This window comes from Homo sapiens, chromosome 1 (genome assembly GCF_000001405.40).
Source record: "Homo sapiens chromosome 1, GRCh38.p14 Primary Assembly".
NCBI classification, from domain to species: Eukaryota; Metazoa; Chordata; class Mammalia; order Primates; family Hominidae; genus Homo; species Homo sapiens.
The window spans coordinates 175,944,513-175,972,201 of record NC_000001.11 but is presented as its reverse complement, the minus strand read 5'-3'; the positions used below and the strand labels follow the sequence as shown (position 1 = coordinate 175,972,201).

The following is a 27,689-nucleotide window of genomic DNA, read 5'->3' as shown; positions in this document are numbered from 1 at the left end:
AAACCCTATACTTGTTATATTTAGACTTTCTGAAGGTGAGGACCAAGAACCACCTTTTGTATTTGTTGTTGTTGTTGTTGTTGTTATGGGTTACATAATTCTCTCCTTTTGTTTTGTTAAGTATCCTAGAATTGCATGGGAGAAGCAAAGATCCCATCTCTGTCACATCCAATCTTGGAGCCACCGGTGGAAATTTAGAAGTGCCAAAGTGTTTCCAACAGTCGCTGCCGCAAACCTATTCTTTCTTTACAGGAGTGATTAGGTACTGTCTCAAACCCTCCTGAGTGCCACATCAGGAGGCTCTCTATGGTCTGTTGGTCACTTTGGAAGATGTAGAGACTAAATCCAAGGGAGACATTAGATAATAAGCCAGGGTTCTCATCAGTCTCCTCAGTAGCAAAAGCAAAGGCTAGAACATTCTGGTAGTGCTCATTATTAATTGGAACATTACAGCTGGAGTCAAAGATCTGCCTCCTGAAAGGTACTGTGTTCTGATGTTTACAGCCAAATTCCATTAAACATTGACTGATTTATTACAATGGATACAACTCAGAAATAGCTCATGGGAAGAGATGCATAGGGCAAGGTATTGGAGAGTGGCGGGTGGAGTACACAGAATAGGTCTGTGCTGGTGACTCTTGGAAACACTTTGGCATTTTCTTCCCAGATGGGTACCCTCCTAGTACCTCAATGTTTTCACCAACCTGGAGGCCCTGGAACCTCCATTTTCAACAAACTCCCTTTGGGATTTATATATAATAAAATGCTATAAAATATCAGTTTTTGAGCTCTTTTCTGTTTGTATATTTGCTTAATAAGAATTTGCTAAATGAATAAATTTTATCTGATTAAGTTTTCAAGGACCCAAATGACCAAAATAAGAACTTACTGTAAGACTCAAAATATAACAAATGAGGTTAATTTAAATCAGGCAGTGAGTTTTTGGAGAATATGTTCTGTACAACAAAAAAAAAGTTACTACAAAATACCCTTCCAACTTTGACATATTAACATCCTTATTTCCTTCTGGCTTTATCAGTCTTTCTAAGTCATTTAAGTCTAAAACCCCAGAATCATTATTGTTGCATCTCTTTATTTTCCATCTAATTATTCATCAAATAGCAGTAATGCTTTCTTTGAAATGTCTTCTATATATCTTTGTTTTCGTTTCTGCTTTTCATCTCCTCATTTCTGTTCCTTCCCCTTCCCCTTCTCTCGATTTACTTCTAACAGCTTTATGTCCCTTTCAGTCGGCCTTTATGCACTACCAAATATTCATCTTTATACAGAGATAATCAATCAAACATTGCTTGTTACCTTTAGTTGACCCAGGTCTTTCAGAAAAGTTTTTTTCAAATTCAGCATTTGCATGTACCTCTATCTGGTATATTTTGGCCAACACTAAAAATAAGGGGAAATTTTGATAAATATATTACCTGAACTTGTTAGTTATTTAATCTATTTCACTTCAGATATCTGTATCTAATTTTAAAATTATATTTACCCTTACTATTAAATATGATCCTTAAGAAAATTATAGGAAAAAGTACAATAGAAAAAAATACTCAAAGGTAACTCAGATTTCAAAATTTACTAGTATTTAGAAAATTAGCCTTTATAATAAGTATAGAACAATGTCGTTCCTATATCTACTTCTTAACTGCTCTATTTCCTGATCTCATGTGTTTGCACTTAGACTATCGTATCTAAACTATTACATTCAAGATTTTCAATAATCTAATATAATGCTATCCATCTAACTTTATTTCTGTTTTCTAACACAGTTCACCTACTTCATTAAGAAAGTTTCTTCATTGTCCCATACTATTCCCATTCCGGCTTCTAAACTCGTATTCATGTTGTTCTTCATATTGCCTTATCCTCTTATTTCTGCTTAACTAAGTTCTCATCATTTTTTAGCCCAATCACTGCTTCTCTTTCCCTCTTTTAACCATTTTATCTCCTTGGTTTCTGGTTTCTCACAGCTATTGATGAACCTATAGAATGCAGTCTACCAACTGATGTTCACATTCATCTTGAATTGTTTGTTATGCTTCATTAGTGTTGCCCCAGGTACATTCCTTGCTTCAACTTGGAGAGCAAAAAAATACAAACACCAGCAGCTACCAGAGTAAGAGCTACTTAGTTTTCTAGGAAAGAGGAGTTAAAGATTGAGTGAGAATAAAATTTAAGTCTGCCTAACCCAGAGAGCCTACTTTTATCAATTTCATAAGATCATAAATATACTGACTAGAATAATACACTAGTATTATTACTACTAGTACACTGTGATACTGACAGTACTAATATGATACTAATAGTACTATCATTGCTTGAGATAACTACCCTTTAACTGTAAAGAAATTAAGGTTATATAGTATTTTAGTAAAAGCAACTACCATTCATTTGTTTAGTGCCTATAGTGTGCCAGTTACTCTTTGGTTACATGCTGTAAGGGAGAAAAGATTTTTCTCACCTGTTGGCTTGATTCATGACGGAGACCTCTGTAAGTTTTACATGACATAGAAGTTTTACGTGACACAGAAGGCTTCAGAAATGAAGACCCAAAGAATGGGTAAACTTGTATATGTTTATGCTTAGGTTTGATGAAGAAATGAATAGTCTCATGGAGAAGTATGATTGGAGGACAAAGGGGTATGATCTAATGGTAATAAACTGGGGGCAACTTAGCAAGACCTGTTTGTTGAGCTTCTTCTCTGTGTCTCTGTCTCCAGAGATAAGGGCATTCCTTTCCTCAGGTAAGGATAGGCAACTCTGGAATGAGAGTCTTATGACCTGCTTCAGTGGAAGGGCAGAGAATTCTTTTATGACCTGCTTCAGAGGAGAAGTGTGGGAGAAGGTCTTCCTGCTTCTGCTGTTTTTTCAAATACCAAGGTGACTATTTGGAGGTAGTGTGTTCTGGTCCCTAACAATGCTCTACTGTGTTTTCCTTGAATCTTCATACAGATTCTACCTAAGAGTATCTGCTTTATATTTGGAGAAATTGAATGTCTAAAAGGATTAAGCAGAACCAAAATTCAGATCCAGGTTTCCATGCCTTGAATGTATTGCTTTTTCTGTTAACATGGTATTCCCCAAATAGTACTGAATTCTAGAATCAGCTTTACCAGAGTAGTCTGGAGGAAATTTGCGAATAGCTCTCTTAAATATGCACGGTTCTATGCTCAGAGGAGCTCTTCTCAGTATTAATCAGCAATCCAGTCATTTTTTTCCCCTCATACTTGTCATTGTAAGCACATTTTTCTCAAGCTTTACTCAGAAGATCATCCAGAGATATTAACTGTTAACATGTGCTGCAAGTTGAAAGTGTTTAGAGAGAATATTTGAGTGCAGTGTGACAAGGATAATCAAGTTGTTTAGGGCCAGTTGGCGAGAAGACTTTGGAAAGCATTGAGAAAGGAATGATGAATGTATGTGTTGTTTTGTATCTAAATCCTTCTTCCCTTGTGTATGTTCTTCACAGCCTTTTCTCCCTGAATAAGGATCACTTTGACTTTGTATGCTAAGTGTGCCTTCTTAATGGTTCTTTTCCTGTTATCTGAATCCTGAAGTATATTTAAATGAGAATTTGATGCAGTTAGTTAATTGGAATATAAAAGACTGGTTAACAAAAGTCTTCTTAATAATGAAGCACACCAGAAATGGAAGCTGCTGGAACCAGCCATGTGGACAAATGAAAAAATGCCTTTTGTCTACAGATTGCAGCGATCCTACATAAATATATGGAGGTCTCTGTCTGGCTTAGGACAGCTGGCTAAGTCTGATCGTTCCCCTCCGTACAGCCTTTAAAACTGCCACTCTAAATACTTGGTTTCCTTGCCATTTTATTCAGTATCTGCTGGTTATGAGTACTGTATTATTTTTTAAATGGGCAACCAAGTAAAGTTACCTCTGTATCCGTCTGAACTGGTTTTTGAGGTATCTTACGAGTTTTGAAAATAGGTGTTATTTGCTTATTTAAGGAACCTACAACCAGGAAGTAGAATGAATGTGGAAATATTATTCTTCTCTTGCCGAGCATGGTGGCTCACACCTGTAATCCCAGCACTTTGGGAGGTTGAGGCAGATGGATCACTGAATGTCAGGAGTTCAAGACCAGCCTGGCACCAACATAGTGAAATCCTGTCTCTACTGAAAACACAAAAATTAGCCAGGTGTGTTGGCAGGCGCCTGTAATCCCAGCTACTTGAGAGGCTGAGACAGGAGAATCACATGAACCTGGGAGGCGAAGGTTGCAGTGAGCTGCGATTGTGCCATTGCACTCTAGGCTAGGTGACGGTGCGAGACTCCATCTCAAAAAAAAAAGAAAAAAGAAATATTATTCTTCTAAGGGGCCACATTGGCTTAACGAATTCAGGGTTACCAGTGAAGGTCAATACTTTAGATATGAAGGAGCTAATCAGAGATAGCTTCCGTGAAGATTTTCTCATTAAGAAAGTGATTTCTCCAAAATCCAGTTTATGTAATTTTTTAAGGCTGTAACCAAAGTTCAGAAATAACCATTTGCAGAGGAAAGCTGCTGCTAAGTATTAACCTTCTTAGTACTGAATTCAAAATCTTGGTTTTTCCTGTTGTGTGTTTTGCTGTTAAGTTGTGGGGAGAGGTTGCTCCCACCTACCTCCCCTAACTTCTACAACTTACAGCAGCCACAGCTGGGTTTGTTTGTTTGTTTGTTTGTTTGTTTGTTTGTTTTTTGAGACTGAGTCTCACTGTGTCACCCAGGTTGGAGTGCAGTGGCATAATCTCAGCTCACTGCAACCCCTGCCTCCTGGGTTCAAGCAATTCTCATGCCTCAGCCTCCTGAGTAGCTGGAATTACAGGGGACCACCATGCCTGGCTAATTTTTGTATTTTTAGTAGAGATGAGCTTTCAACGGCGCGGTGGCTCACGCCAGTAGTCCCATCACTTTGGGAGGCTGAGGCGGGTGGATCACCTGAGGTCAGGAGTTTAATACCAGCCTGGGTTTATTTATAACTAATTGTATGAGGATCCTTGTTTGTGGTTCTGAAATCCCATATTTCTTACCCTGAGCAGTTTTTGCATTAGACAGTTGTCAAATGAGTAGCCATACTTTTCTAGGCCCTTTAGAAATCCACTGTTCTGTTCATTCTAATGAACGATTTTAAGATTTTGTAAGGAAGGATACTAGTGGAGAAGAAAGAAGAGATTTGGGATTAACTGATTTTGAAAGTGTTCCTTTGTGATGAAGAAATCCCAATTCCCCAGATCTCAAATTGGGATTTTGTGTATGGGGGGTGGAAGATTGGAAGGAGAGTGGGAATTTGGCCTGTCAATGCCATGTATGTTGACTTTGGAACACTCTTTACCACTTTGGTTCTGTGGCCAAGCCTTTTCCTCTGTTGATATTACTTGAAATAATACTTATAGGGAGATATATAAAAGACCAAATTTTCCATGTAACAAGGCTTTTAGGAGCCTAGGTTTATGACATTTGAAATGTAATGTATATTTATAATGTATGAGAACTGAGGCTCTCTTGTACATAGTCAGTGACCACCCAAGACACCTTTCTTCTTTCTTCCATTTTGCTTTAATAAATTCAGGATGAAGCCCAGACATGTGATAAGCTTACTGGGTCAATATGATACAGATCAGCATTGGTATATTTCTCAGTTTTCACAAGTTGATTCCTGGCTTTGCTCTTTCTTAGCTGTGTGTATGAATTTGGACAAGTTATTAAGTCTAAGACTATGTTTACTCTTTGTAAATTGATGATAAAAATAGTACCTTCCTCATTGGGTTGCCATGCAGATTAAGTGAAGTAATCCATATAAAATTCTTAACTAAGTCACTGACCTATAGTGCTCAATAAATATGTGATAATGAAACAGGTTTTTAAGTGTTTGTGTGTGTGTGTGTGTGTGTGTGTGTGTGTGTGTATTGCAAACACAATTCAGACAGCTAATTCACTCAACCCCCTTGGATTTTTTATAGAATGCAGGGAAGGCTAACTAACATTTTAGTTTAAAGACCAAGACCTTTTATTGATAGATTGTAGTTTTGTGTTCATTCTTTCTTAGACATATTTATATATATTTTTACCAAGTCAACTCTGAAAGACCACATACTGAAAGAAAAGTCAGGGACAAAAAGAAACTATTAGGCTTACAAATGGCATTTAAAAACCTTTGAAGATGATATTGGAACCTATGTTTGAATGTCTTTGTATGGACTCTCACTTGGTTTCAAAATGCAGCGTAGATTTATGTCTAGGATAAAGTAAAGAAACACTCCGGTCAAATAAGGGGATTCTTATGATGAATCAAACCCAGATAAGTGGCTGGGTGCGGTGGCTCACGCTTGTAATCCCAACACTTTAGGAGGCTGAGGCGGGTGGGTCACGAGGTCAGGAGTTCGAGACCAGCCTGACCAACATGATGAAACCCCGTCTCCAAATACAAAAATTAGCTGGGTTTGGTGGCACGCACATGTAATCCCAGCTACTCAGGAGGCTGAAGCAGGAGGATCACTTGAACCCGGGAAGCGGAGGTTGCAGTGAGCCGAGACTGCACCACTGCAGTCCAGCCTGAGCGACAGAGCGAGACTCCATCTCAAAAACAAACAAACAAACAAAAACAAAACAAAAAAAAAACCCAGATAAGTGAAATGAATTTCTCTGAGCTCCAAAAACAAAAGAAATTTGAATTTTAAAAGATGTACTAGAAAGTGCTTTAAATAAAAGAATGATTCTGCGTGTCAGGAAATCAACAGTGGCCCAATAGGATGAAGTAACAAAATGTCAGCACGAGTGATGAAATTGGACAATTGAATAGTATCACTTAACAAGGCGTTGAACAAAGAAAAATTTAAGAATCCCTATATCTTATATCTGTATTTCTTCTCAAGGGCAAGGGAGAGGATGTTCATAAGGCAACTATAGATCATGCATCAAAAGAAGGGCAAATTTATTTGAAATTGTTCTGTGGCTGTAGGATCCTGAGTGAAAATCAGATTTGACTATACACAGAGTCCATGACCTCCTACATGAGGAGAGAAGCTATTTTAGTTTTCAGGATGCAATTGCAGTACAAATAGTAACAGCCCACCCTGAAGACAGAAAAAAAAAATGGAGCAAAAGCCCATTCTTTTATGTTTATAATCTTGGTATGAAAAAGAGCTTAAGGCAGGTATGGTCTTTTATTTTCAGTGACATGAAATCATCTTTGTATGAGTGCAAATTAACACTCTCTTTTCTGGCAATGAGAAAACAAGACATTTGTGTTCATAAAGAGAATGCCTTTGTCCAAATAAGACAAGAGGCTCTTATGGAGAGAATATTAAGGAATTAACAGATATAGTATAGATTGTGAGTTTTTTTGTGTGAAGCCTAGTTACCTCAAATTTTTATTCTTTATATTTACTTAAGGAAGGATATTTAAATTCAGCCATGTTTCTCACTGTTCTGTGCCCTCCAGGGAGCTGTATTTGCAGATACTGTATGTTGTTCATAGTGATTTACCATTTCCATTTAATCAAATGCTTGTTAAAGGACTTAAATGGACATACAATTTAAACTTAGTGGGCACACTTTAAGAAGAAAATTCAGTGATTATAGGACAAATTGTTTAAGGCAGAACTGCTTATAACTTTGCTAGCCATCTCAGCTGCAGTTTCTGCTTTTAGAGGACAAATGTAAATAGTATTTCAGTGTACTTTACATTTTCTGTGTCACTAATAGTGTTCTACCACTTGAAAGGGGAACTAAAATTAAAAATCATCTTCTGGGCTTTTTTTCCCCAGTAAAATTTTCAAGGAACTTACCTTCCTTTGTCATGAAGTTGTTTTAGGGGAGAAAACATTTCTGATTTTTGTTGGCTTTTTTTTGTTTTTGTTTTGTTTTTAGATCCTTATTTAGCAAGGTTATGCTTTTAAACATCTAAGGGTAGAGGGTGGGATATGTGTCATTTATTACCTTCTGTCTTGGGGTAATGTTCTGATTGAGAGTGCTGGAGCCAAGTTGCCAGGTTTGCCTCCTATCACCATTAAGTATTAGCTGTAAGACTTTGGGAAAGTTATTTAACCTTTCTGTGCCTCAGTTTCCTCTTCTGTGAAATTAGATTAATAGTATCTTGCATGTAATATTCTGAAATAAAATTAGAAAATACATGGAAAGTACTAAGAAAATAGTTGGCACAAGATAAATGATCAATCAGTAAATGTTGCTGTCATCTTTAACATTTTATATACGAATCCACATAACTGGACAACTGTACTTGTTTTTAGTTCATCAAATATTGTGCAATATGAAAATATATTCTCTGCATTTAAGTGATTTACAACCTAGTAAATAGAAATATTCATAAATAACTATAGTATGAACCCAAATGAAAGAAATCTTTATAAGATCATTACCCCTGAAATTATTGACCCTAGAGGGAAGACGTTACTTCTAACTTGGAGAATGATGGAATACTTTATGAAGATAGGGGCTTTTGAGCTGGGCTTCATAAAGATATAAAGGGTTTCAGAAGTCTAAAGACAAAGGGAAAGGAAGGTACCTGGACAAAAGACCATAAACAAACACATCTATTAAGTACCAACCAGGCAGTATACTAAGTGCTATCTTAATTTAAAATCATCATCATCAATCTTTTAAGGCATATATGCTTGAGTTCCTTTAAAAGTGAAATTGACGCTCAGATTTGCCCAAGATTACACAGCTAAATAAGGGATACAGTTGGAATTAGAACCCAGGTCGGGCTGGCTGTAAAACGTACACCCTTTCTGCTATACTGCAGAAAGCTAGAGAACAGTGTAAACAAAGGCGCAGATGAGGGAAAGTGCAATAGATGTTTAAGAAACTTCTAATAAAGTGTCTAAGTAGGATGGTGGAGTAGGGACTTTATTGAGAGATGAGGCCAGAGAGTGTGCTAGATATTATAGTCTTGAATGCCATACTGAGAGAAAAAAAAAAAGTTTAGACCTTCTTCTGTAGGCATTAAATGCCTAAAGCCCACTGTGAAGATAATCCCATGAGAGTATTATCATAGCAGTGGGTATAGTGCATTGTAATGAGAGATTAAAAGTAGAGAGTCTACTCAGGTAGGTTATTAAATAATTTAATTATTCAGGGTTTTTTTTTTCTGTGTTCAGTTTCCTTCTGGGGAATAAGAATAACAGAAAACACCCACATGTAACATTCATGTTTTTCAAGATGTTAAGTTTGCCCTCACATATTAAAAAAAATGTTTATTTGACGATGTTTCATTATATTCACTTCAAACAATAAATCTTGAACTATGTTTGCGGATATAATCATTAACTTCTACCTTCTAGTACACAACTTAATTTTTTTTCTGCTTTTCCAAGAATTCACTTATTTAACTTAACACATGTGAATTGAAGAGTTTTGTTAAGAGATAGGATTAAAGGAGATGACTCTAGGTGCCCAGGGAGGGGGAGGTGCGGTGAGAGATGGCTGAAGGAATAGAACACTGGTGGGAAGCAAAGTTCTTTTCTACCCTCTTAGGTTCTCTGGCTAGGTCTGTGAAATAAACTGACAACTGATGGATTAACAGAAAAGGCATACAAATTTATTTGATATTCAAAGTTTTACATGAATCAGCTGCCAGGGGTGGGTTGGAATAGTGGGGGATATCTCGTAGAAAGAAAACCCCCAATGAAAAGGCTCGGTTTGGAGGTTTTTATACCATTTAGACAAGAAGACAAATTTAAAGGGAAGCGACAAGACAAAGGAAAGGGACTTTGAGCTTCTAGGAGTGATGAACAATAGGAAGGCAAATATTAATATATAAGAAACTAATGGTAGATAAGGGCTAGTTAGTGAGGTTTGTGCAGATTTTTTCTCAGTACCATCTCATCTTTGGTAATAATAATAAGGTTGTTATCCCTTTCCTGGTACAGGAAGTAACTGGGGTACAGGGAATTCCTCTCTTTCACAAGAGGAATTTATTGTCTGTTTTCAGGCAGATAGAAGGAGAGCAGAAAGCTCTCCTCAGTTGCTTTCAGCTCAAAATAATCTTTCCACCAGAGTAGCATATTTTGGGATGGCATATTCTGATCTACAACACCAAAGAAAAACTGCTCCTATCTATTTTTTGCATAAAGGCAGTCACTGACTTTTGTTATCCATAAATAAAATTCACAGATAAATTAATCTTACTTATTTTCTAACCCTGGTATGCTACAGTTTACATGCTTACCCCACCTCATATTTTCATCTCGTTAACTAATACATAAGCTGCTTTCTCCACACAATTTGTCATCATTCCAAAACCATTTTTTTTTTTCAAATTTATTCCATGTGCATGACCGTGTCCCTTTGCCTAACATATCCATCTTTTCTCCTGTGAAATTTCAAGTTTTATTCTTCCATTGTTCCATTTGTGACCTAATCTGTGAAGCCTTTCTTATCTTTTCCAAGTAAAGGATCACTCTCTTCTTACTTCTTCAGTTGCCCCTTTGAGCTCTATAATATATTCTTTTTTTTTTTTTTTTTTTTTTGAGACAGGGTCTCACTCTGTTACCCAGGCTGGAATGCAGTGGCCCAATTCAGGCCCATTGCAGCCTTGACCTCCCAGGCTCAGGTGATCCTCCCGCCTCAGCCTCCCAAAGTGCTGGGATTACAGGCATGAGCCACCACACCCAGCCTATTTCTTTCTGTTAAAAGTCCATTTCCCCTGTTGGCCTATGGTCTTAAGATCAGACATCATGTCTTATTCTCCTTTGAAATTCCAGGACCCAGCACAATTATCTGGCATGTGATATCTACCCTAATGGACGGATAATGATGGATGAATAAAGTGGCATGAAATTAATAAACTTCATGCCAAAGTCACTACTGTATAATGAAACGACTGTGATGATTGAAAGTTATTCTCTCTGTGAATCAATTTGGGAGCGTTTCTTTATGTCTTAGTCAGGGTTCTCCAAAGGGACAGAAGTAATAGGACATGTATAGTTAGATCTATGACAGGGTTTTTATTTGGGGTATTAGCTCACATGATTACAGAGGGTGAGACATACCATGATATGCCAGGGAGGCCAGTAGCATGGCAGAATCTTAGGCTAAAGGCCTGAGAATTTGAGGGCCCATTGATGCAAGTCCCAGAGTCCAAAAGCTGGAGAATCTGGACTTCTGATGGCCAAGGCCAGGAGAAGAGTGTCCCAGCTCCAGGAGAGAGGAAGCAAATTCACCTTTCTGCTCCCTTTTTGTCTATCCAGGCCCCCAGCTGATTGGATGGTGCCTATCCACATTGAGGGCTGAACTTCCCCACTCAGTCAACCGACTCACACACCAGTCTCTTCTGGAAACACCCTCACAGACTTACCCAGAAGTAGTGCTTTGCCAGTTCTCTAAGTATCCCTTTATCCAGTCAAGTTGAAACCTAAAATTACCCATCACACTGTTACCTTGGACATCAGGAGTAGCTTTCTGGCGAAGCCTCTGTCAAAGCCAGTTTCTAATGGCTAAGTTAGCCAGGGACTTATAAAGGCCCTTTATAATGCAAACTTGACCATTTGGTGGAGTTGCTTTTGATGTTACCAGTACCATCTAATGTCCAAATCCAATAACATATTATTACTAAACAGTCTTCATTTCCTCATGATTTTTGACAATTTTGACTTGCTTCTCTTTCTTAAACTCTTCTTTTAGCCTCCATAATAGTCTTCTGTTTTGCTTCCTGCCCCTTTGTTCATTTTGGGCTCCTTTGCTTGCCTTCCTTGAACTGCTAAGCCAGAAGCAATTTTCCCTCACTTAAAGATCACTTATAAGATACATACTTTATGCCAGGCACTTATGTATGTGTCTGTTTGATCATAAAAATGGTTCTGTTAGCTTAGTTTTATTAGCATTGTTTTATAGTTATGGAGACTGAGATTCAGAGAGGTCAAGTAACTTGCCCATAATGAAAAGTCTAGAAGCGTTAGAGCTTTGAATTGAAATCTTTCAGACTCCAAAGACATTTAATCTACTCTGTCACTCTGTCTATGTTTTGTCCACCTGTTAATTTGATTTTAGGAATACAGATTGTCGTATATAAATTCTGGTCCATTTCCTCCTGAAAACCAGTTACTGGCATTTCCATGAATATAGAAAACTCTGTAAAATTGTTTTTTCTATAAGAGAAGCCTACAGACCTCTCTTAGGTGATGAAGAGGCTTAGAATTGAATATCAAATTTGGCTTGCCACTTAAAACAGAATGGAGTCTCAAGTTGCAAGTAGGGTTGTTTGTTAAACCTGAAACACAAAACAAGATAAAGGGAGGATATAACCACCAAATAGAAAACTTTTGACTCTGTACATTTTGAGAAAGCCCTGAAGATGTATTTGATCTATTATACAATTCAGGTTTACATTAATGATGGTAATTTACCTAGAAAGATTTCACACCTGATAATAGTAGTTGACTCTCTAGGGAGATGAGAGACACTCAGTTTTCCCCTACTCTTTTGTACTGTGTGAATTTTTACCACATGTGTATATTATCTATTCAAGTTAACCAATAAACATATTTTTCTAAATAAGAGAAAGGTATCTAGGTAGTCCTTAAGGGATCCATTATTTATTATCCCCATTTTTAATCCAACCATCTTGCTAAACTCTCTTATTAATTTTAATTATTCATTTCTACGTTCCTTGGATTTTTTTATGCACACAATTAATTCATCCACAAATAATTAAAGTTTAGTGTCTGCTTTTCCAGTACTTATACCTTTATATCTTTATTCATTTGCCGTATTTTGATGGCCAGAACATCTAATGTAATGTTAAATAAAAGTAATGGTATCTGGCATCGTTGACTTGTTCCTCACCAAAGGGAAAGCTTTTAAAGATGTTATCATTAAGTATGTCTGCTGTAAGAGTTTTGTAGATACATACCCTTACAAAGAAGTTTCCTTCAGTTCTCAATGTGCTGAGAGTTCTTACCATAAATGAATGCTAAAGTATATTACTGCTTTTTTGTACCTATTTAACATGATATAATATTTTTCTTTCAAATATTGATCTAGTAGGTGAAATTTTTTTTTAACCTAATATTAAACCAACTTTACATTCGCTGGAATAAGCCCAACTTGGTCAAGATTTATTCTCCTTATATATTGTTAAAATCAACTTGCTACTATTTTGTTTAGGATTTTTTCATTTGTCTTTATGAATAACATTGGCCTATAATCTTTTCCTTTTTTGCATTGTCCATGTCAGGTTTTGATTTCATGGGTATATTAACTTCATAAAGCAAATTAAGGAGTTCTTTCCTCCTTTGATGTGGAAAAATTTGTGTAATACGAAATTATTTCTTTCTTGAATATTGGCTGAACTCGTAGATGAAGTCATGTAAGCCTGAGGTAGAAATATTTTTGACTGTCGATTTATGAATTTAATACCTGTAGGATGATTCTTGCTTTCTATTTCTTCTTGATTAGTTGGGTAAGTTTTTATAGGAATTTTTCCACTTGGCTTAAATATTAAAATTTATTAACATAAAGTCTTTTCAGTTTCTTTTTTCTATAACATTATTTATTCTCATTCTGAGGGAAGTCATCAATTTAACGTAATGCTTAACATTTGGAGAAATAAATTTTAAAGAAGGGTTATATTCTGATTTTGTTTAATAGTTATCTTCTGGTTAATAAAAGGAGGAGAAATGTAGGGTGGAAATGCTTATCATAGTAAATAGCAAGGTTTATATATAAAACCATCTATATTGAACAGGGAGAGAGGAATGACAAAAATATTTACCTTTCTTTTTGATAATTCAGTGCCTTATTTTGGGGGAAATATTTAGCTTCATAGCTGAAATGGCTTTGATATTATACCTGAATGGTTACAGAGATCTCATAAATATAGTAGTGATAAGGGGTTTATATATTATGTTGGGAAATCAGAAAATATTTAAATCATGAATAATGACTTTTAATTGTTAAAGACCAATATTGAGTTTAAAGTTAACTTATAAAATACGTATTTGTTCTTGTGTGTTTGTTCCCAGCTTTTTAAAATTGATATTATTGAAATATAATTTACATAAATATAAACTACATACATTTTAAGAGTATTCAGTGAATTTTTACAAGTGTATACATCAGTATAACTACTACCTTAATTCAGTTATAACAACATTTTCATCACCCAAAAAGTTACCTTGTGTCACTTTGTAATCAGTCCCCTCCCTTCTCCACTACAAGCTACTGCTAATCCACTTTATGTTATCATAAGTTAAGTTTTGCTTATTCTAGGATTTCATATAACAGGAATGATACAGTATGTAATTTTTTGCACCTGGCTCCTTTTATTTAGCATGATACTTTGAAATGCTTGTGTTATTGCCTGTATCTGTAGTTCCTTCTTATTAGTAATCCATTTTATAACTATGCAACAAATTTTGTATCTATTCACCAATCTTTAATATTGCCCTTGTTTCCAGTTTTGAACTATTTTTAATAAAGCCGCTGTAAACATTCATAAATAAGTGTTTATGTGACTATATACCATCATTTCTTTTGGATAAATACCTAGGAGTGGCATTATGAGATTGTAGAGTAGTTGTAAGTTTAGCCTTATAAGAAACTGTCAAACCTTTTTCCATAGTTGTTGTATTACATTCATTGGTCACTTAACAATGGGGATACGTTTTGAGAAATGCCATTAGGTGATTTGATTTCATCATTGCACAAACATCATAGAGTGTACTTCCCAAACCTGGATGGTATAGCCTAGTACATACCTTAGCTATGTGGTATAGCCTGTTGCTCCTAGGCTACAAATTTGTACAGCATGTTACTACACTGAATAGTGTAGGCAGTTGTAACACAATGGGATTTGTGTATCTAAACACAGAAAAGCTATAGTAAAAATACAATATAAAAGGTAAAAAATGGTACACCTGCCTAGGGCATTACCATGAATGGAGCTTGGTGGAGTAGAAGCTGCTCTCGGTGAGTCAGGGAGTGAGTGGTGAGTGAACGTGAAGACCCAGACATTATTGTACATTACTGTAGACTTTATCAACACTGTATACCTAAGCTACACTAATTTATTTTAAAATGTTTTCTTTCTTCAATAATAAATTAACTATAGTTTACTGTAACTTTTTACTTTATAATTTTAATTTTTTTCACTTTTTGACTCTTTTGTAATAACTTTTAGCTTAAAACACAAACACATTGTACAGCTGTACAGATTTTTCCTTATTCTGTAAGCTTTCTTCCATTTTTAAATGTATTTATTTATTTTTACTTTTTAAACATTTTTTGTTAAGCTCATCAACATCACTGTCTTCTACATCTTGTCCCATCGGAATGTCTTCAGGGACAATAACACACATAGAGCTGTCATCTCCTATGGTAACAATGCTTTCTTCTGGAGTATCTCCTGAAGGACCTGCCTGAGCCTATTTTACAGTAACTTTTTTTGTTAATAAGTAGAAGGAGTATAATCTAAATTAATGATTAAGAAGTATAGTACAATAATCTTATTGGACCACCATCATATATGTGACCCATCGTTGACCAAAATGTCATTGTGCAGTGCATGACTATATTTTGCACTCCTGCCAGCATCCTAAAATCATTCCATTTGTTACATATTTTTGCCAACACTTGATATTGTCACTTTAAGAAAAAGATTTAGTTGTTCTAGTAAGTGTGGATGGTATTTTAAAATTTTTGATGAAGTCCAATTTATCAGGGTTTTTTTTTTCCTTTATTGTACATGTTTTTTGCATCCTAAAAAATAGTTGCCAACCCAAAGATTTTCTCTGATTTTTTTTCTTGAAGTTTTATTGTTTCAGCTTTTACATGTATGTCTTAGATCTATTTAGAATTAATTTTGGGAATGGTATGATAGAAGGATTGAAGTTTACTTTTTTCTGTATATACAGTTGTTTTAGCACACATATGGTTGTTTCACATACCTGCAGTTGTTTCAACAGCATTTGTAAAAATTACTCTATTTTTTTTTTAACTTGCCAAGTTGTTTTGAAATTCAGTTGATTATGGATGGATCTGTTTCTGGAATTTCTTTTCTGTGCCTTTGATTTATATGTCTATCCTAATAATACTACACTGTATTGATTCCTAATGCTTTTATTAACAGTAGAACTTCAAATCATGTTGTGTAAGTCCCTAGTTTTATTTTTTCTTTTTCAAAATTATTTTAACTATTATAATGTCTTTGCTTTTTCATTTAAATTTTTGAATCACTTTGCCAGTTTCTACTAGAAAAGTTTGTATGATTTTAATTGGAATTGCATTGAGCCTATAGATAATGTAAGAAGAATTGGCATTGTGACACTATTGAGTCTCTGGTCTATGAACATGGTATAACTGTCAATTTATTTAGGTATTCTTTAACATCTCTAAGCATTGTTTGGTAATTTTTAGTATGTAGGCCGTGTGTGTGTGTGTGTGTGTGTGTGTGTGTGTGTGGTTTGTCTCTAAATGATTCATGCTTTTTATGGTACTATAAATGGTATTTTTTAAATTCTATTTGCTTATCATTTATTGTTAGTTTATGGAAGTGAACTGATTTTGGTATAATTGACTTTGTGTCTGACAATCTTGCTGAAGACAATTTATTTATTCTAGTGGCTTATTTTTAAGGTACATTAGGATTTTCCACATAGGCCATCATCTCTTTTGCAAATGAAGACAGTTTTCTTTTTTCAGATCCATATGCTTTTTCCTTTTCTTGACTGTCGCACTGGGTTGTACCTCTAATACAGTGTTGAATACAAATGGTGAGAGAAAGCATGTTCACCTTGTTCCTAGTCTGAGAGAGAAAGGGTTCAGTATTTCACCACTAAGTATGATGTTAGTTGTAAGTTTTTCATAGGTATTCCTTATCACCTTGAAGAAGTTCCTTTCTATTCTTAGTTTGCTGAAGGGATGATGAATGCTCTCAAGTGCATTTTCTGTGTTGTGATTACATTACTTTTTCTTTTTTTTGTTTTGAGGCAGGGTCTCACTCCTGTCACCCAGGCGAGAGTACAGTGACACAATCACAGCTCACTACAGCCTTCCCAGGCTCAGGTGATTCTCCCACCTCAACCTTCTGGGTAGCTGGGACTACAGGTGCATGCCACCACACCCATCTAATTTTTTGTGTTTTTGATAGAGAGGGTTTCGCCATATTGCCCAGGCTGGTCTCACACTCCTGGACTCAAGCAATCCACCTGCCTTAGCTTCCCAGAGTGCTATCACAGGCATGAGCCACCCTACCTGGCCTTTTCTATTCTCTTTACATAGTGAATTATATATATATATTTTTTAATGTTGAAAACCAATTTTAATATCTGGATGAATTCCATTTAGACATGATGCATTATTCTTTTTGTATATGACTGAATTATCTTTACTTGTATTTTGTTAAGGTTTTTTACATCTGTTTATAAAAGTAGTTGGTAATTTTATTTGTTTTTGTAATGTCTTTCTCTGGTTTTGTTTGATTTACAAGCTGAGTTTGGAAATGTTCCTTAGTCTTCATTTTTAACAACTTTTTCTTTCTTCTGTCATAATTGGGAATTTGTATCTTTCATAGAATTTGTTCATTTCATTACCTGTCAGTTTTATTGACATACAATTGTTCATGTTTATTTTCTAATTATTCTTTTAATATCTATAGAATATCTAGTGATATCCCATAATTTATTACTGATATTGTTAACTTACATTTTCTTTTTGTTAAGGCGTATCAATTTTATTGATTTTTTTCAATGAATTAACTTTTCATTTCAATACTTTTTTACCTTTTTCTGGTTTTATTTTGATTTCTGCTCTTCATGACTGTCATTCTTGTACTTACGTCATGTGTAACTTGCTCTTTTCCTAGCTTCTTAAGGTGCAAGTTACTATATCATTAATGTTCAACCTTCCTGCTTTACTAATAAGTATTGGAAGCTATAACTTTCTAGGCATTGTTTTAGGTGCATTACACAAATTTTGATATGTTGCATTTTTATTATCTTTTAGTTCAAAATGGTTTCTCATTTCCATCCCTGGGTTATTTGGGAGTATATTTTTAAATTTGCAAATACTTGTGGATTTTTCCAGATTTCTTTTTGTTATTCTTTTCTACTTTAGTTCTGTTTCTTCAGAGAACATACTTGTATGATTTTAGCCCTTTAAATTTACTGTGATTTGTTTTATGGTCTGACACATCTTTGTTGGGGACTAGTACGCATGCATTTGAAAAGAATGTGTATTCTGTCATTTAAATAAAACTTTCTGTAAATGTCAGTTAGTTCAGTTTGGTTTTTATGCTATTGTTTAAGTCTTTTATATGGTTATTGATTTTCTCTCTACTTAGTCTTTGAATTATTGAAAGGTGACTGTTAAAAGTTCCAAACATGAGTCAATTTATTCTATTTAGTTTTGTCAGTTTTGGCTTTGTTTTAGATATATATGTATATAGGAGTTTTTTTTTTTTTTTATAAGTTGACCCTTATTTAATTATGAAATACCTGTCTTTATCGCTGGTCAAATTTCTTGTCCTGAAGTCTACTTTTTCTGATATAGCCATTCCAGCTTTCTTACGATTAATGTTTGCGTGGTGTATCTTATCTGTATTTTTATGTTTAAAGTGTTTCCTTTTTTTATTTTTTTAAGACAGGGTCTCACTTTGTTGCTCAAGCTGATCTCAAACCCCTAGTCTCAAGCAATCCTCCCACCTCAGCCTCCCAAAGTGCTGGAATTACAGGCATGAGCCACCGCGCCCAGCCTAAAGTGTATTTCTTAGGGACAGCATAGAGTTGAATCTTGCTGTTTTATCCAGTCTTATAATCTCTGCCTTTTAATTATAATATTTAGACCCCTTATACTTAATTATCAATACAGTTGGTTTTATGTCTGTCATATTTTTTGTCTTCTCTAAGTTCCTATGTTCCTCATTTCCTTTCTTTTTTTTGAGTATTTTTATAATATTTTTTCTCCTTTACTAGCTTATTAGGTATATACTGTTTCTTGTATTTTTTAATGGTTTCTCTAAAGTTTATAATATGTTTAACTTTTTACAGTCTGTCTTCAGATTATATGATACCACTTTATAATGGAAGAATCTTATAACATTATACTTCTATTCTCCCCTTTTATTATTTGTGCTTTTGTTGTCATGTATATTTACTTGTGTTTGTGTTATAATCACCTTAAAGCACTGTTATTATTTTTCCTTAAAATAGGAAATTATCTTTTAAAAAAACTTAAAAACAAGAAATCAAATATCTTTTATATTTATCTACCTAGTCACCATTTCTCACAATATTCATCCCTTATTTATTTATTGAGACAGAGTCTTGCTTTGTTTCCCAAGCTGGAGTGCAGTGGTGCAACCATAGCTCACTGCAGCCTCAAACTCCTAGGCTCAAGAGATCCTCCCGCTTCAGCCTCCGGAGTAGCTGGGACTAGAGGCATGCATGCATCACCATGCCTGGTTAATGTTTTTTTTTATTTTTAGTAGCAACAAGGTATTACTCTGTTGCCCAGACTGGTCTCAAACTCCTGAGCTCAGATGATCCTTCTACCTCAGCCTCCCAAAGTGCTGGCATTGCAGGTGTGAGCTACCATGCCCACCTTATCCCTTTTTTAGATCAGAGTTTTCATGTAGTATAATATTCCTTCATCCTGAAGAACTTCCTTTAACAATTTCTTACAGCGCAGGTCTGTTTGTGAAAAATTATCTCAGCTTTATTTTATCTGAAAATATCTTTATTTTGACTTTAATTTTGTGTATCTCAATGGATGGCTTTCTTGTTTATCATCTTTTTTTTTTTTTTTTTGAGATGAAGTCTTGCTCTTGTCGCCCAGGATGGAGTGCAATGGTGCCATCTTGGCTCACTGCAACCTCTGCCTCGCAGGTTCAAGCGATTCTCCCACCTCAGCCTCCCGAGTAGCTGGGATTACAGGCTCCTGCCACCACGCCCAGCTAATTTTTGTATTTTTAGTAGAGATGGGGTTTCACCATGTTGGCCAGGCTGCTCTCAAACTCCTGACCTCAGGCGATCCGCCTGCCATGGCCTCCCAAAGTGCTGGGATTACAGGCGTGAGCCACTGCGCCTGGCCTCTTGTTTGTCATCTTAAAGATGCTGTCCTATTGTCTTCTGGCTTGCATTCTTGCTGATGGGAAATTGGCGATCTTTCTCTTTATGTAATGTGTCTTTGTTTCTTTGGCATTTCTACAGATTTTCTCTGTTTCTTGTCTTCAGCAGTGTAACTGTGGTGTGCCTTGATGTGGTGTTGTGCTTCTTTCTGCCAGAAATTGTTAAGCTTCTTAGATTTGTGGGTTTATAGTTTACAAATTTGAAACATTTTAGTCTTAACGTTTTCATATATTTTTTTCTCTTCCTTCTTTGGGACTCCAATTATACATTTATTAGGTTGCATATTGCCCAATAGGTCACTGAGATGCTAATCTCTTTTTCCTCTCATGCTTTTTTCCTGTCTGCTTCAGTTGTAATTTTGGAGGTGTTACCAAATTTTTTGATGTTTTATTCCTCACTTGTCTCATCTGTTGTTATGTCCATCTCCTTACCTGCTTTGTGGTCCAGAAATTGCCTCTCAGTAGAAAACCAGGGTGATTATAGGACTCACTTCATTTGTTTCTTTTCTCTCAAAGATCACAGTCCTGTACTGCCTGTGGTCCAGTGGTATCTTACATATTTTTTTCAGTTTTCCAGTTGTATATGGTAGGAAAACAAATTTAGTCTGTTTACTCTGTTATGGCCAAAAATGGAAGTTTTTATATATATATATATATATATATATTCACGTATCTTATATTTAAATACATTGTATATACTTATACCTATACTAAAATTAATTTACATTTAAAATCAGTTACATCTATCTCTATGAATAAATCCACCAGTTGCTGAGTGAATAACTGTTCATTTCTCAACTTGTCAGGATTTTATTTTATTATATTTTATATATTTATTTATTTATTTATTTTTGAGATGGAGTTTTGCTCTTGTTGGCCAGGCTGTAGTGCAGTGGCATGATCTTGGCTCACCATAGCCTCCACCTCCCGGGTTCAGGCGATTCTCCTGTCTCAGCCTCCCAAGTAGCTGGGATTACAGGCATGTGCCACCACGCCTGGCTAATTTTTTTTGTATTTTTAGTAGAGATGGGGTTTCTCCATGTTGGTCAGGCTGGTCTCAAACTCCCGACCTCAGGTGATCCGCCTGCCTTGGCCTCCCAAAGTGCTGGGATTACAGGTGTGACCCACAGCGCCATCCAGATTTTTAATGTATTGTCTATAATGACCCTTTTTAAGCAAGTCAATAAAGATAAAACTATTTTAGTAGATGCAGGTTTTCTTCACTAGCCTACGTGTGCTACTAAAAATGTTTTGGTATAAGTTAGTGTAGTATCACTGACTTAAGCAAGTTGGTGCATGTTTATATGTCTTCTGTTTTTATAAAAGACTTGCTAATTTTTCTGTTGTCTTTTCTTAGTCTCTTCATAGTCAGAAAAAAATATTGGGTATTTTATTAGCTTAGCCTTGAGGAGAGTTCTGCAGTAAAACTGCCGGTTTCCAAAAAAGAGGGAGAAAATAATAAGAATTACTGACTCACACTTTTATTTTATTTAGCAAGTAAAAAATAACCTGTTGAGCTAGAACTTATTTATAGTAGGCCCTAGCAGACCACAGCTACAACTAGGAATTACCAGTCATCCAAAATACAATCAAGAACCATTAAAAACTTACATTAATAACCTTGTACGTACCACTTCCACATCTCTATGCTAGAAGTAAAATATCTGGTCTTATTTTTCTGTTGCATGCAAAAAAAAAATAATTTATCTTAAGCCAATATCTAGCTATCTGATAGTTTAATTCTAAATAACTTTTTTTGTAATCATACTACCTTTGGGGAGAGAGGATGTACTGAGATATGAAGCCATTATTTTTCTTTCATTAAATTTCAGTCCTAAAAGACCATTCAAACTGGCATTCAATTCGTATGTTGACTTTTTTTTTTTTTAACACATAAAGTATTTATCTGTTTCTGCAGGAAATAGTGTTAAGAGTTAACCCTTGGATAGCATCTAATATGACATCATATATTAATGCCATAGTAATCCTGAGGTTACAGTAAGACAGTGTTTATTCATGTTGGATAGTTATCAGATGTCCTTCTTGGGTTTAGAGTGGTAATTGTACATATTTTAAACTCCTCTTGTGTGGTAATCCAACTAGATTATCTTATTTATATTGGGGCTAATTTTTCATACTGTAAGATAATATACTACAATTTTCCTAGTTTTGCTCCCATCAGAAGTCAGAAGTTTCAATTATGTAATTTATAATCCCTGTAACTGCCAGAAGTAGACTCCCTGCTTATCCCCAAGTGAATCCTCATCTTCACCAGGTCTCTGCATTCCTTCTCTATATTAAAAGGTGACTAGACCCAAAATGGCAGAAGGAGATGGAGCTTTCGGCTTTAAATTTTTCATTGTCCTGTCATTATTTGTTCTCATAGCAAAGGGAGCAGTTCATGATGGCTGCAGCATTTAGTGGTGGTGGCTCTTGGCAGTAGCTTTCTTGCAGACCAGAGTCTGTCCCCTCCTTGAATGGCAACTAGGTTGATCAGTGAGATTTTCAACTGCTTTTCTGGATGATGTTTACAGGAGAATTATTTGTGGGTCACCAGTGGCAGTTCTGATACCATACAACTTGTTTAAAATTCCTGCTAGAAAGAAATCCATATTGCACCACACAGTGCCTCTTTCTGCTGTTTTCTGAGGCCAGCATAGAAATGCTGTCTCTTAACCAACTCAGGGTAAGTTATTATATTCCTAAAGGACATCCAGAACCTACTCCAACCACTTTCTACATTCAGGTCACTAAAAGAGTAAATAAATCCCAAATTCATCTTCCTTTCCCCTCACCCCAGCCCCCCACCCCGAATATGGAAGTGTTGATTCTGTATACCTCAAGTCCCAGAAATAGCCCATAATATTCCAAAGTTAATTCTAATAGTGAGTATTGTATTACCCATGTTCATTTTTTTTTTTTTTTTTTTTTTTTGAGACGGAGCCTTGCTGGAGTCTCTCCAGCCAGGCTGGAGTGCAGTGGTGCAATCTTTGCTCACTGCAACCTGTGCCTCCCAGGTTCAAGCACTTCCCCTGCCTCAGCCTCCTGCCTAGCTGGGACTACGGGCACACGCCACCACGCCAAGCTAATTTTTTGTATTTTAGTAGAGACAGGATTACACCATATTAGCCAGGATGGTCTCGATCTTCTGACCTCATGATCTGCCCACCTCTGCCTCCCAAAGTGCTGGGATTACAGGTGTGAGCCACTGCGCCCAGCCCCCATGTTACTATTTTTAAGAACATTTGCTAATTTAAGGAAAATCCTCAGCTAGGAAAAGATCAACAATTCCCATGCCCACATGTCTTTATTTCTTCTTGATACACCTATAATCTTTGATGCTGCTGACTAATTCCAAAGAGTATTCTGATTCCATTAAAAATTCTGGAATAGTGGAAGACATTATTATTTTCTTGTATGCCATTAGTAACAAGATGCACATTTCTGAAGAGCAGCTTTATTAGAAATGAAAGGGAAAATTTAAAAATGGAAATGTATGAGTTTGTAAAGCGCAACTTGCATATGTCAAAGAAACTAAAGTTTAACTCAGCTTAGCTGAAGTAACTTTTCTAACATACAAGCCAAGAGTTTTCTTTGTTCTTATTATTGCTTTGTCATGAAGCCTGAAGGATATTTAGGTAGATCCTATCCTACATTCAAATTAGACCACTTTATCTGTTTCTCATAGCTGTTATTTGGACTTCGTTTTTCTCTCTGCCACCTGGCCTGACCTCTATGACATTTTAAGTCTGTTTACCACCTCTTAGCTGCCTACCATGGAAAGCAAAAGACTCCAACACATCCAAGTTCCAGAGCCCTTTAGATGCCCAGTTTCCTACAGGAGGCATGTCTCCATTCTTCCTACTTTCTGAGATTCTCTCTAGTAAACTCAGTCATGTCCATTTCTTTTCCCACTCTTCCTACTTTCCAGAGAAATGTTTTTTCCTTGGCTTAGAATAGAAAAATACTTCACCACATATATTCTCATCCAAGTAATTACCAAGGTTATTAAAAATGCATGTGCTGAATGATAGAATAATTAAAAAGAAAGATAGTCCTTTTTCCCAAATGAATATTCACATTTTCTTGTTTTCCTAATACCAAATGTCCATCCATAGAGATTTGTGCCAAGGATGTTGGCAGGTTTTACATCAATTACTGGTATTTTATGAGAGAAAATGAATGAAGAAGGAGTGTGCTGGGAAAGCAATTATTCACTTTGTTTTTCTCAACTTACTCTTTTTTTCATTTTATTTCAGTCTTTGTTTCTTTTGGCTTTTCTTCCATTGACAATCTTTTTCCCTTTTATTTTTGTTTACATTCAAAAGTGTCCTACTCTGCTTCTAACTTTATTCTTTTATTAAAACTTACACTTCAAAATATGGGATCTTAAGTTTAAAATACAGTTAAAAACATGTTAAAATTGTCTCTTCGACTGGGCACAGTGGCTCACGCCTGTAATCCCAGCACTTTGGGAGGCCGAGGTGGGCAGATCACCTGAGGTTGGGAGTTCGAGACCAGCCTGACCAACATGGAGAATCCCCGTCTCTACTAAAAATACAAAAATTACCTGGGCTGGTGGCGCATGCCTGTAATCCCAGCTACTCGGGAGGCTGAGGCAGGAGAATCGCTTGAACCCAGGAAGTGGAGGTTGTGGTGAGCCAAGATCGCGCCATTGCACTCCAGCCTGGGCAACAGAGCAAGACTCCGTCTCAAAAAAAAAAAAAAAAAATTGTATCTTCATATTAGATTCAATTGTCTTAGGAATTGAAGTGAAGAAAGAAGGATGAAGAGGAAATTATCTCTTGGATTGCTCTCCAGGAAATCCTTCTCTATACTTTAAAAGCTCTTGTTCTTTTCTAGGAGTCCAATGTGCTGATTGCTGCTAACAGTCAGGGTACAATTAAGGTAAGCTATTTACTATATCTCCATTTTAAACTCAGGCCCATTTTTAGACTGAAACAGGATTATAGAAATACACCATTGTACTGAGCCTTAGAGATCATCCCAAATCATGGGTCTGTGTCTCCTTACAAATGGCTTGATTTAAGGGAAAAGAATAGGTAGCTTGCATCTGTGGAGAAGATGATAGTGCTTATTGAGGTTGTATGGATGCTGGATGGATTAATAGATGGTCAGTTTGAAAAACAGATAAAGACTAGTGAACATTCACTGTGGGCTAAGCACAGTTTAGCTTCTGTTATGCCAGTACAACTCTCCCACAGGGCTTTCAGTAGATAGAGCCCAAAATATAGCAGGAGATGCAAGATATAGCAGAAGATGCTTAGACATCACCAGATTTAAACATATCTTGGTCATATTTTATTCTCTTCCTCATGGTTCTCTTTCTTCTGTCCCCTAAGAAGTAGGTTTTTCCTCAGTTGTCAAAGGGGAGAAAAAGTTATTTTAGTGTTCAGTTGAAAATTGATAGATGTGATTCAAGGAAGCCTAGCCATAAAAAAAGGAAAGAAAATTGATTGATGCATATATAGCACTTGTACATGATACATTGGATAAATAAATCCTGAGATAAGCAGTGAACTTTCTAAACAAAACACCCTTTTGGTGGAGTACGTGTTTCTGAGAGTACCTGTTTTTTCCACATATTCTCTGCTGATTTGGTAGAAATATTGAAAGTTTTTTAACATAACGTGTGTGTTTCTCCTGCCACTTAGCATTAATTTTGCCATAGCTTCCTTAGACTCATCATAAGTGGAGAATAATCCATCAGCCAAGGCAGCAAATCCTAGCCTAAACATTCTACAGAGGTGAAATGAGCAAACTTAACGCAGAAGAACTGCACTAATTTACATGGTAGTCTCCTTTTTTAGGCAGCCAGTTTCTCTGTTTGAAAAGCCTCTTTAGAGAACCACTGAGAGCTTAAATGAAAACGAGGTTTTTTAACTGATCAGTGTTTGTTATGTTCTGGAAGCCTCAAGCAAGATGGTAGAAGGTCTTGGAATATCTGATTTAAGTGGCTTTCTATACTCTCTCAGTCTCTCTCTTACTCTCATGTCAAGTCATGAATTGAAAAGCTACACCTTACTCTTCAAAAAGTTTATCCTTTACACCAATTGGGATTGCCAGCATACCTACAAGAGCTCAAAACTACATAGGTTCTCATAGGATCCCACTGACAAATCTAAGATTTTGTTCAGCATCATTGACTTCTTATGTTAAGTAGCCTAGTTACCTAATATAAAGACAAAAGCATTATGGAAGCACATATATTAGTCAAGCCTTAGCTGAGCAGCAGGGGAAAGGTTGCACGTTTAAATATTTGCTACTTAGTGAGTGTTGTAGTGTCCATCTAATGTAATTCTTTTTGACAGTGTCTCATAACTATCCTCCTGTTCCGTGATCTTTCTTAGCCATTTGCTTCCTCTTAGTTTTAGCAATATCACAACTTACTTTTTTATGACAGTATACTACTTTAATTCTAAAAATACAAAGTATCTGGACGCTAGATGATTGGCTAGAAATGGATGAAGCAGCAGGAAAGAGCAAGACTTTAGGTCCTGTAACCTTGATCATTATAAACAGTGTTTATTGATGAAAGAAGAAAACAGATTAAAATCCTAAACAAGGATACTTAAAACTTTCATAAGAATGTGGAAAGATTCCAACATATATTCCAAAAATGTATTTGTGCTATGCATTAGCCAATTTATTTTTCCATGTGTTTTATGTAGTTTACCTTGAAGGCTTCCAAGTTAACTGTGGAGATAGCTCATCTGAAAGAGTTCATGCAGCTGTTAAGCTGCAGGTCAAAAAGGATTAATGTCCAATCCATTCAAATTCTTTGGCATTTTCCCAGTTGGGAAACGTTTTTTAAATTTGCTTTTCTATTGGTAAATATAGTAAAGAGTCATTAAATTCCTTTTATATCTTAAATGATTTTATTAAATGGATCCTTTTTTCCCCCCAATTAGGTGCTAGAATTGGTATGAAGGGTTAACTCAAGTCAAATTGTACTTGATCCTGCTGAAATACATCTGCAGCTGACAATGAGAGAAGAAACAGAAAATGTCATGTGATGTCTCTCCCCAAAGTCATCATGGGTTTTGGATTTGTTTTGAATATTTTTTTCTTTTTTTCTTTTCCCTCCTTTATGACCTTTGGGACATTGGGAATACCCAGCCAACTCTCCACCATCAATGTAACTCCATGGACATTGCTGCTCTTGGTGGTGTTATCTAATTTTTGTGATAGGGAAACAAATTCTTTTGAATAAAAATAAATAACAAAACAATAAAAGTTTATTGAGCCACAGTTGAGCTTGGAAAGTTTTTGTCAAATGCAGCAAGAGATAACTCTTTTTAAGAAGTAGCATATGTGAACTATAATGTAACAGTGAATAATTTGTAAAGTTCGTATTTCCCAACCTCTTTGGGAATTACACATATCAATGTAAACAAAATATAAAGTACATAGATTTCTGCCAGTGAATTTACTGTTTACGGTAGATAGAAAGATTACTTTATAAAATTCTTTCTTCATTCTCTGACCAGATTTATATCATCAGCAAGTACCATGTTGTCCAGTCTCTCTGAATCTGGCTAAGATCTAAAATTTTGATCTATTGAGACC

General features: G+C 35.8%; 1 protein-coding gene and 2 non-coding genes across 33 annotated transcripts in view; all 3 read left to right on the top strand.

Annotated features, from left to right (window-relative positions):
- COP1 (COP1 E3 ubiquitin ligase) overlaps nucleotides 1–27,371 on the top strand; it is a 262,456-nt gene extending 235,085 nt beyond the window's left edge. For 17 of the 31 annotated variants that reach the window (XM_017002069.3, XM_017002074.2, XM_017002072.2 and 14 more), the window contains one exon: nucleotides 122–18,244. In XM_017002069.3, coding sequence (XP_016857558.1) covers nucleotides 122–262 — 141 coding nt within the window. In that variant the 3' untranslated portion in view covers nucleotides 263–18,244. Of the gene's footprint in view, nucleotides 1–121; nucleotides 18,245–24,962; nucleotides 25,008–27,031 lie in introns of those variants that run through there. The other 14 variants (XM_047427793.1, XM_047427798.1, NM_001286644.2 and 11 more) reach the window with 1 other exon arrangement.
- SCARNA3 (small Cajal body-specific RNA 3) lies at nucleotides 3,662–3,805 on the top strand. Its single transcript, NR_002998.1, has one exon.
- Nucleotides 3,723–3,832, top strand: MIR1843 (microRNA 1843). Its single transcript, NR_162097.1, has one exon. It is a non-coding gene; the product is annotated as a microRNA 1843 (primary transcript).
- Nucleotides 27,372–27,689: the final 318 nt, after the last annotated feature.